Source organism: Homo sapiens, chromosome X, assembly GCF_000001405.40.
Source record: "Homo sapiens chromosome X, GRCh38.p14 Primary Assembly".
Lineage (NCBI taxonomy): Eukaryota > Metazoa > Chordata > Mammalia > Primates > Hominidae > Homo > Homo sapiens.
Genome location: NC_000023.11, coordinates 147,321,214 through 147,332,727, shown reverse-complemented (window position 1 = coordinate 147,332,727; position 11,514 = coordinate 147,321,214). Strand labels below are relative to the sequence as shown.

At 35.2% G+C, this 11,514-nt stretch overlaps 1 long non-coding RNA gene across 1 annotated transcript; it reads left to right on the top strand.

Annotated features, from left to right (window-relative positions):
- The first annotated feature begins 574 nt into the window (after positions 1 to 574).
- LOC105373348 (uncharacterized) lies at positions 575 to 8,812 on the top strand. Its single transcript, XR_938515.3, has 3 exons — positions 575 to 634; positions 3,644 to 3,742; positions 7,747 to 8,812. It is a non-coding gene; the product is annotated as an uncharacterized LOC105373348 (long non-coding RNA).
- Positions 8,813 to 11,514: the final 2,702 nt, after the last annotated feature.

Below are 11,514 nucleotides of genomic sequence, written 5' to 3'. Positions count from 1 at the left end.
ATTCCTATGAGGAAATCTGCAGTTCTTCTGCATATCTCCTGTCTCTGTAGTTGTCTGCTTTATTATTTCTAGATGCTTCATCTTTCCCAAACTCTAATACTTGCTTTCTTAACTCAGCAAGACCACTGTACAAGTTTCTTTACTCCCCCCACTGTTCTGTGGTCCAGAAATGCCTCCAGGTATACTATAGTGGTCTTAGTGCTCCCCTTAATTTTCTTTATTTTGTGGATCACAGTACTGAACTGTTTGTTGCCCATTGTCTGAAAACAATTATTTCTTATATTTTGTACAGTTTTCTAGTTTTCTGTTTTTGTTTCTATTTTGTTTCTCTTTTGGAACAGGAGACGAAGCTTAGTGTCAGTTAATCTGTCCTGGCAAGTAGAGAATAGAACCCTCTTTGTAAATGACTTGTTCTTTCTTCCTGACTCCCCACATGTATCTTTATTTATCCTTGAAGTTCAGCAACTTTTTCCAGATACGTCCACATGCTGAATGTTCTGTACCTTTTTATTTTTTTCTGAGATACAATATATCTTTTTATCCCTATATTAAAGACTTAACCTTCATGTATTTTGCTTCATTCTTCTGGAACAGCAGTTCTGTGTGAGTCGAACATCTTTTGTCTAGGTTTCAGGTATTACTTTTAATATTTTAATATCTTTTCCTTCTTTTGCTTTCATTTTGTGTAATTTCTTCATGCCTTTCCATCAAGCCTTACTGTTCTCAGTAATGCTTATGTATAATTTTGTTGCTTCTAATATGGTCTTGTATCTCTACTGCTTAATTTTCTCTTTTCCACTTATTTTCTGAATTCTGTTAGCTTTTATCTCCCTCTATCACCATGTAATCTAAGTTTTGAACCTCTGTTTTATTGTAGCTCTTCTTCATGCCATCTAACTCATGCCCTTTGTAATTTTTTGAGACTATGGAGAAATAATTATCTGTTTTTTAACTCCTTGGAGAATTCTTGTGATACGTGCTATTAATTGACCTTTTGCTCCTTTATTTTTTTAATTAAAAGTAATGTTTTTAATTTATTTTGATAAGTTAATATTTTCTGTTTTGAGATAATTACTCATCTTTTAATGACGCCAGCCATATTTGGGGGTTGGGAAAAGATAATGATATGAGGATGTCAGTATCTTTAATTTGTGTTTCTTTTCCGGGACAACTTTTCAAAACAAATGTCTGTCCTTTTCACCTGGTAGCATGTCTTCTCTCAGTTATTGGCATTCAAGTTGTTGATCATTCACAGTAAATCCGTTAAGCTCCAGGGTCTCTGTTTTGTGATGTAGTGATTAGTGTTTCCCCTCTGTCATTTATTACATTTCACCTCTGACAGTTCCAGCTGGATATGAGGTTAGATAATAGATAAACAAGTTATATTAGTATGGTTTCTTCTTCAGTGCCATCTCTCAGACCACTCTGCAGTGCGAAGCTGGGTTTCTGCACAGGTATTCTCTCCTTCTCTGGTTGTCTGCCTACTCCTCTGAATCTAATTACTCAAAAGTATTGTTGAATTCAATACAAACATAGTAATAGTGATTTTGAAGAAACTGAATGCTTCTTGAGGTATAAAGTGTGTACTTTTGAGTCTTCTGCCTTATTTTGTTTTATGTTTCATAGTGTTTTGTAGACATGTCTCAAAAATTTTGTATTGTGGTTGTGGTCATTTTATTGTGGCTTTGAAGACACGTCCACTTCCCACCCCCACAGTAAAACACACTACACACTCTGCTTTGCTTGTTCTATAATACTGGTGAGTTTTGAGAGTGGGTAGTGTAAGGTGAGCCGAGAGAAAGGATGAGCAGACCCAAAGTCAGGCAAGCAAGCTTTATTGAGCTGCTTGGCTGCTCCACCACAGTTAGAGGAGGCAGCCCTGCTTACAGACAATAGCAGGGTTTTACAGGGCCAGAACTGGGTCGGGGTAGGGGAGCTAAGTCGGGGGTGCAGGAGGACTGGGTCAGGGTTGGGGAGCTGAGTCGGGGGTGCAGGTGTCTTGACCGCCTCCTGGAGATGTTTTTTGCCAGCTTTGTTATGTGAGGTTAGCAGACGTGTTAACTGCATCCTGTAACTGTCTGGACAAACAGTTATTGGAGGGGTCAGTGGAAGGGGGGCGGGGTTGTCTTTTGCCCTGGGGTAGCTGTGCGGAGAGCGCAAGGGACTGTACTGTAAGGTCTGTGGGAGGGGAAGGGAACGGTTTGGTCAGGGTGACCTTAACAGGCAGTAGAACAGTAGTATAAAATTTCTCTTTAATTTTTAGTAGAATAATTAGCTTATTACTTAGGGAGAATAAATTGTTGCCTATTTTGTTGAAGAAATAGAATATGCTTTGGTACTATTCTACTCCTAAACAATGACCACAAATCATTTATGTCGAGGTTTTCAAGAGCTTGGTTTTACCACCAATAACTAAAGAATTTTGATAGTAAAAAAAGCAGCCCCCGCCCCCCGTCCCAAGAGGGCCTTGTTCCGCTGATGGAAATTAATTAGATGTACTATAGCTTCTTGCTACTCACGTGATACTTAGGCCAGCATAGGTGTCACTGGGGACAGTATAAAAAACAAATAATCCCAGGTCCCAAGCTAGATTTACTGAATCAGGAATTTCATTGCAATGAATACTCTGGTTATTTTTAGGCACATTAAAGAAAACTTTGCCTACTGTCTCAATCCCAGTAAGGATGTATATCTCCACATTTCTTCTTCCTATAGCCATAGTGTAAGAAACTGTGGTCAAGAACGAATGATGTGCTGATGTCTCTCTGGAAATAAAAATCCTGATTTCTATAATTTTCCCATTTCCTTGGTGTGAACACTTCACCATGAATAATTTCAAGCTAACTGCATGATGTCACTGCATGTGAAATTGGGAAAAGATTTGCACAGTCTGTTCTCACATGACTATGCAAGCTGGCTCTAGAACATCACTGCTCAGAATCTACCTATTGTTGCCATTGTACAAACACCAGTTATCTTACCAACTTCCATGATATTTTGGGGTTTTCTGGATACGATTTTCTTATTAACAAGAACATTTGTAAAATGAAATAAAATGCAATGTAAACATAAACTGGAAACTTATAAAACTCTTCTTTATCTCCTCTTATCCCTTTAACATATACTAGTTATAATTTCTTAAAATTTTGTTTTATAAACCAAACTCTTCATATATCTAGATTTTTTGCATCAGTTACATAATATATCTTATTTTGGTCTTCAAAATAAACTTTTTTCACAATGCATTTTATTCTTTTGTTATTTTATACGATAATTTGAATACACTTGTGGTACAGTGTGGTCGTTTTATGAAGAAAGTGGTTGACTTAGACAAGGTCACAAAACAAATACAGAGATAAAATAAAATGACACACCAGTTTTCCTGCATCCCACTCTCAGTGTTTGTGTGAAATATATTTTACGGGGAGAATGGAATAAGGGGATTCCCAGAAACTGTATCTCACCTGCTCCTGGGTCTAAAATTTCTGGGCATGTTGAAAGAGAACGAATGGCAAGTAAGGCTATGCAATATTGGACTTGATTGAGAAAGATTTGGATGACCAAGCTTATCGCTGACTTATCTGCCTTACTTATTAGACTAATTGATTCATGAAGATCACTTTGGTTATTTTCTCTTTTACAGTCATCAGCAACTTCATTCATTATGCAGACGATGAAAGAGACATTCAGAGAGGTTAAATAATTTGCTCGTGTATACACAACCAGTAAATTGCAGAGCCAGGTAAAATCTAGTTCCATGTGAATTTCCAAATCCTCGTTTTTCTTTATTCCATTACACTTGATATGTTTAATTGTTCTTTGTTTCTTGTATTATATTGAGTTTGAATTTGTTATTCTAGTAACATGATAGTATTAATATCCACATTCAGTTGAAAGTGTTGGGCGAATAGCAATCATGTGTAATTAGTATTCAGAGCTGTATCAAGAAGTCTGTTTCAATCTTTATCTGTAAAAAAATCCTCGGATAACTATGACTGCAAAAAACATTTCACACATAGAACAGACACATTCACAGAAGTGAAGTAGATTAGAGGTTATCAGAGGCTGGAGGCAGGGAGAAGTGGTAAGTTATTGCTTCATTATTACATAGTTTGTTTAGGGTGATGAAAAAGTTTTGGAAATAAATAATGGTAGTGATTGTATATCATTGTGCATATAGTTAAAATGCCACTCAATTGTACACTAAAAATGGTTAAAATGGAAAATCTTCTGTTTATTTTACCAAAATCTACTAAAAACAGACATGAGGCCTCAATAAACAAAAATTCACATGATGGCCATAGGTTTTTCAGTTGTAGAAAGTAATATTTTGGGGAAAAGCTCCAAATGACTTGTTCATAGCCTAGAGACTCTAAGAGAAAGTTTTTCACAAACACAGCCAATCATACTTAAAATTTCTATATTTGAATGGACTTTTTTAACCATAGAAAAATTATATTAATTTACAATGGGAATTGTAACCAGATAGGGAGCCTTTTGACTAACATCAGCCAATGTATTCTTTTTCTGTGAGAAGCCAGAATGACTATTATCAAAAACACAAAAAGTAACAGATGCTGGCAAGGATGCGGAGAAAAGGGAACTTTTATACACTGTTGGTGGGAAGGTAAATTGGCACAACCTCTATGGAGAAGAATATGGAGATTTCTCAAAAAACTTAAAATAGGACTACCATATGATTCAGCAGTCTCACTTCTGGGTATATATCAAAAAGAAAGGAAATCAGTATGTCAAAGAGATATCGGTACTTGCATATTTATGGCAGCACTATTCACAACAGCCAAGATATGAAGTCCACCTAAGAGTTCATTAGTGAATGAATGAATAAAGAAAATGTGGTGTACATACGCAGGAGAATGTTATACAGCACCTAGCCTAGAACTAAGCACACAGTTGACATAATAAACCTATATTGCCTGTTTGTCTAGTAAGGATAATTTTTAGAAGAAAATGTGGATATAAGTCTTAAATAAAAGTGAAAACATAATATAGAAAGTCCATTTACATAATGATGTATATATGTATGTGTATATATATATTTATATATATATTTCTTTGAATGGCATTCTGTAGACCTAGGCTAATAATAATTCCTATTTAAGTTTAAAATGAACTACAGCGCATGGTCAAAAAAATGGTTCTCTAATGAGAAAATTTACTATATGCACCTTCCTACGATAGTGCTTTAAAAGTGTTAAAATATAGATATCAACATTATATTGTGTTTTCTAAAGACCAAGGACTCTTGAAGGTTTTAGAGCAACAAATGGATACTTCTCTATTAGTCAATAAAATATTCTGGATATATGCATATGCATTAATTAATATATTTTCTTTCTTATTGCTTTACATGTTCAGAGCCAATATGTTTTGCCCAAAATATTGATTTTTGATTATGTATATATTGCAAAAGGTTTACTTCTGATGTTGAGGTTTTCTACTTAAACCATTCATCCATATCTCTAAGAGCTAAATAATACTTTGGAGTTTTTCCTCTAAGTGGCAATAAAATACACTTACTAAATGGAATCTTTTGTGTCCATGGAGTAGAGATTAAGTTTCAGGAAGCAGAGACACAGCTGCAGTGTGCTAAGCTCAGAGCTCATTTTTCTAAGTCTTTGTCTTATAAATTTGGTCAGATAAAGTGTTTGATCTGAATAAACTGAAAATGAAAAAAAGATATATAAATGCATTTAGAGATTTGTTTTTCTGTAACAATCCCCTGAAGTTTCTAAGAAAGATATATCATCTTAGAATCCTTAAAAGTTTAATGTAATATGAATGGGAACAGAATAATTTTCTCTGAGGTGCTGTAAATGGAAGAGGTCCAACACAATGAAATGATAAATGTTTGAAGTGATGAATATCCAATTACCCAGATTTGATCATTACACATTTATGCTTATATCAAAATATCACATGTACCCCATAAATATGCACAACTACTTTGTTTTCATGAAAATGTTTTTAAAAGATGTTCAAATATACCCATAATAGTATTTAGAACTTAAAAAATTCACAGAGCTCAATTCGTAAAACCCTTCAGCATACATAGAGGGGCAGGTAATTGCCTAAATCATAGTGAGGGAACCAGCAGAGTCAGTCCTTGAATCCAGTAAACCTGATCTCCTCTGTAGGCTCTCCCATTAAACATTCACATGTAGGAAAAGTCCTCATTACAGTTGTTCTATTTGAAACAGCAATATGTAATAATAGCCTGGGTAAAACAGTTACAATTAAATTGGATGCTTTGAGCAAATAGAATCAACAGCTGAGGTCCCAAGGTCATTTTAATCTTGAATATGTTTTTCTTTCATTATCTATTCTTTGATAATTAAAATGTTCCAAAATAATGATAAGAACAAACATGCATACTTCCTTTATCACACATTGAATACATGTTATTACGGGTTTTAAAAAACTTAAAAATATTTCCACATGCTATAGATAATAGGTTGCTCATGTTTCCATGGTATATTAGGTTTACAAAGTGCTTTCATGTTCATCATCTCTATGCTGTTTGCAAGATAAATAACATCTATCTTCTTTTAGACATGATGGACTTGAAATTCCATAAGGATGTGATTTGTGTGAATTACTCAGCTTGGTGATGACAGAGGCAGGATTAAAACCTTTGTTTTCAAACTGTAATGTACAACAGAATCTCCTTTTTAAAGCACTCTCTTCTGGGTCAGAATTTCCGATTTAGTATGTCTAGGTGGACACCTAAGAATTTGCATTTCTAACAAGTTCTCCTGTGATACTGACTTTGCCAATCCAAAGACCCAAACACTGATGTAGTTAATCCTGGGGCAGCCTATCCGTATTCTCATGTAGTCTCTTATGGAATTGGAAACATTTCAAAAACAAGTGGTTTGCCTAACCTCTTTTCTCAAATGTGTTAGTAAGTCCTCTTTATATTTAGCAAGTTATTAAAGTAATAGCTTATATTTTTGATTTGCCCATATCAATGGCATTTTAAAATAAGAACTATATTTCAACATATATGTATCAAGTACATTGAAAGAAGTGTGAATCTATTACTAATTTTTTGTGGTTACAGTTATTCTTAATATTTAAAAAATTTTTATGTTAAGGTTATTGATAATTTGCATACCACTATTGTAATGTTATATTGTTCTGTATTATTTGATAATATATTTACCTTTGCCTGTGAGATTTATACTTTGATATGCTTTCATATTGCTCTTTAGTGTGTTTTTTGAATGTGGAACCTTTGTGTCCTAAACTAGAAGCTTTGTGCTCGATGTGATTATACAATCATTAGACATGGAATTTAAAATATAAGTCCATAAATAAAATTCTTATTTTTATTATAGACTTCAAGATGAATGTTAAAAGATAACATCTAAGGATATAAGAGAAAAAGAAAAAAATAGAACATCTAATCAGTATTGTAACCATTATTTAATGTTTATCATTATTTTTACTTTTTTGCTTTTTAGTTTAAAGATACTTGCATGGGCAACAGTGTCAAGTTGCAGGATTAAAATATAGTATGTCCAGTTACATTTGAATTTCAAAGAAACAATAGTTGCTTTTGTTTTAGTTTTCATTTTGTGTTTTTTGAGTATAAATATGCCCCAAATATTTCACAGAGCGTACTTTTGCTACTAATAATTATTTGTTGTTCATTTAGAATTAAAATATAATTGAGAGTCTTTTCTTTTCTTTTTCTTTTGCTGCTAAATCTTACAATTCTAGACTAATGACAAAAGTAGAGGATCACTGACTGCTGGGTGAAAATATGGAAGGTAAATATGAGCACCCCCACTTAATCCTTAGCAGTATGATAAGTAAAATTTAGAGTTGCAGAATAAATGCATTACGTTAACATCATAAACTTATAACTAATTTTATTAGTATCTACCAATACATATTGTATACATGATATGTAAAAACATATGTATATATATAATATATGATATTTTATCAGTCATGATTTCAGGATAGTATATTTATATAGTAAACTTACTGTTCCCTCAATATGGTAAGATCTTCAAATACAGTTATACATTAAATACTTTTTGAGCACTCCACGTGAATCAGAAATCACTGTGTTCAGTCAAAAATGAGTTAAATAGGTCAACAAATGGTTGTCCTCTATAGTCCTCTCATCTTAAGTGCAAAGAAAATGGCATGAAAAGGCACTAAAGCCAAAACAGTGATTCTCAACCCTAGCTTCCCATCAGAATTACCTAGAAAGCTTTAAATTCTATGCGTGGGTCCCACCCTCAGATATTTTTAATTAATTGGTTTGAAATCTGTCTTGGGCATTGAGGAGTTTTTAAAAGCTTTCTCAATTATTTCAATTTGCAGCCAAGATTTCTTCAATGAATGGTACTCAAACTTGTCTGCATGTTTTAATGACACAGCGAGCCTTTAGGTAAATATGTTCGTGACCAGACTACATCCCACGTAAAAGGGGTCTGGTGGAGGGGGTGAGGTTGAGCAGTCTTAAAGCTCCCCAGCTGTTACTGGAAAGGGGTCCCAATCCAGACCCTAAGAAAGAGGGTTCTTGGGCCTCACAAAGAATTCACTGTGAGTCCATAGAGTAAAGCTGAAAGCAAGTTTCTTAAGAAAGTAAAGGAATAGAGTGGCTACTCCACAGGCAGGCCTGCAGCATGGGCTGCTCGACTGAGTATACTTATAGTTATTTCTTGATTATGTGCTCAACAGGGGGTGAATTATTCAATGAGTTTTCTGGGAAAGGGGCAGGCAATTCCCTGAACTGAGGGTTCCTCCCCTTTTTAGACCATATAAGGTAACTTCTGAACGTTGCCGTGGCATTTGTAAACTATCATGGCACTGGTGGGAGTGTCTTTTATCATATGCTAATGATTGTAATTAACATATAATGAGCAGTGAGGACAACTAAAGGTCACTTTCATCACCATGTTGATTTTGCTGGGTTTTGGCCAGCTTCTTTACTGAATCCTGTTTTATCAGCAGGGTCTTTGTGATCTGTATTTTGTGCCAACCTCCTATCTTGTCCTGTGACTAAGAATGTGTAGGGATAGGTGCGGTGGCTCACACCTGTAATCCTAGCACTTTGGGAGGCCAAGGTGGGTGGATCGACTGAGGTTAGGAGTTCAAGATCAGCTTGGCCAACATAGTGAAACCCCATTTCTACTAAAAATACAAAATATTAGCTGGGCGTGGTGGCAGGTGCCTGTAATCCCAGCTACTCGGGAGGCTGAGGCAGGAGAATCGCTTGAACCCGGGAGGTGGAGGTTGCAGTGAGCCGAGATCGTGCCATTGCACTCCAGCCTAGGTAACAAGAGTGAAACTCCATCTCAAAAAAGAAAAAGAGAAGAATGTGTGACCTACTGGGAATGCAGCCCAGCAGGTCTCAGCCTTATTTCACTCAGCCCCTACCCAAGATGGAGTTGCTCTGGTTGAAATGCCTCTGACACAACTTATTTCAATATGCCAGTAAGTTAGAAAATCATTATTCTGTAGGATTTGTATGCTCTTTACACAGCTCTCCATTCAGATATGAACTAGACTTCGAGTATTTGCCTTATTAGAACTTAAGAGAAATTAAAGAAAAAATACAGCTTTAGGAGGTATTGGTATTGACAGTATTGGCTCTCCTAAGGCGTGAGGAGGTATCTTTCATGAGATCATTGTATGAATATCACCTGTACTCCATAAGTGTGTATAATTATTATATATTCATAATAATTAAAATTTTAAAGAAAAACAAATAGTACTAAAGACAATGACAATCAATCAAGCATGTACTTGAGACTTCCCTGTGGAACACTCCACCATAGCTTGAAATCCACAGGGCTTTTTAGTTTCTTTTTTTCATGTACAAGGGTAACTAAAAATTCCAAACTGAGTAAACAACAACCAGAAAAGCTTTGGCAGCACAAATATAACAACTTTTTACCCTGCTGAGTACTGAAAACCCTGCTGTTAGTTGTTTTTTCTTCTGCATGCATGGATGAACTTCCCATATGAACAAGTCGAGTATGCTTAATGAGTCATGGAAGAGCTTGGATGCCCTCACCTGGAGCTTGGAATCTTCAGGATGCAGCAACTAGAATGGATGGCTTTGTTTTACCTTCAGCCATTATATCAGGTGTCATCAATTTCTTGATTCAATTAGTTCTCACTTATACATAGTAATGCCTATCGACTTCTTAATTCACTTCTACCCGTGTGACCAGATAACTCCTTTTTTCCTCTTCCTTCTGTTGGTGGCTGTGATCAGGGTATCAGGGGTTGGGGTTGCAACGTGTGTAGAAGGGAATGAGGCCTGGGTAAAGATTCAAGAAAAGGCATTTAGTTCTTGCTCAGCCCCATATTGCCTACGTCACTTAATTTTCAGAGTTTTAGCTTCTTTACAGTTTCAATCAGCATAGTATAACACCTGCCTGAAGGGCTCACAATATGGCTGTGAGGAACAAAATTAGTTGAGTATGTCATCATATGTGAGGCAGCTGAAAATGAAAGATTCCCAGTAGCAGTAGGGGCAAATGAAGAACTCTGGAAATTAGACATGCCTATTGAGGTGGTATAAGTGCTGTGTGTACTGACCTAGGCTAAGGAACATTTTTTCCATGAAGTAGGAGAAGAGATTGTTCACTTTCAAGAGTTAGGGGCCACGAGTTGCAGAACGGTGTAAAGGTTTAAGGAAAGTGGAAATATTGAGTCATTTCTAGGAATGTAAGTTTCTTGGATAGAGTTACCAGATAAATCACAGGATATAGGGTTAAATTTGAATTCGAGGTAAACTGTGAATAAAATGTTCGTTATATGTATATCCCAACTATTGCATGTGAAATACACTAAAAATTATTTGTTGTTCATCTGAAATTCGTGTTTGTGCATTCTGTATTTTCATTTGCCGAATCTGCCAACACTAATCTAGGGAGAGTTAGGGATGTCCGCTTTGCTCCTTTCAGTTAGTTTTGTGGAGGAGAAACTTTCAAGTATTAGTAACTTGCTGTGTGCCTTAATACGTTGTTGATTAACACATGATACTTAAATATTGATAGCATTTTATAGTTTATGAAGCAGATTTATATATATTGTTTAGGAAGTGGATTTATATATATTATTTACAAAAATCTTATAAGTTAAGCATTATCATTCCCACTTTACAGATAAGAAAACTGAAAATCAGAGTTTTCAGGTTACGATGCTTGTTCAAGTTTATATGGCTATTTAATGAAATATTTAGCAATTAGAAACAGTTCTTTGATTATATGTGCAATGTTATTTCAACTATGTCCAAGCTGTATCTTAGACTGATTAGATCTCAGCGTTTTATGTTTTATCAGAAGCAGATTTTCTTTTTGTTTTCCATTATCTAAAACTGGTCCCAGCAGACATTACTTCTAATCCAGTTGTTTTGCTTGTATGATTCCATTGAAGATTTAGTATTAATGAGCTCGCTGTAAGTAAAATATACAGCACATTGAATTTGTCACTGTAGCTTCTCTTAACAAATGAATTGAA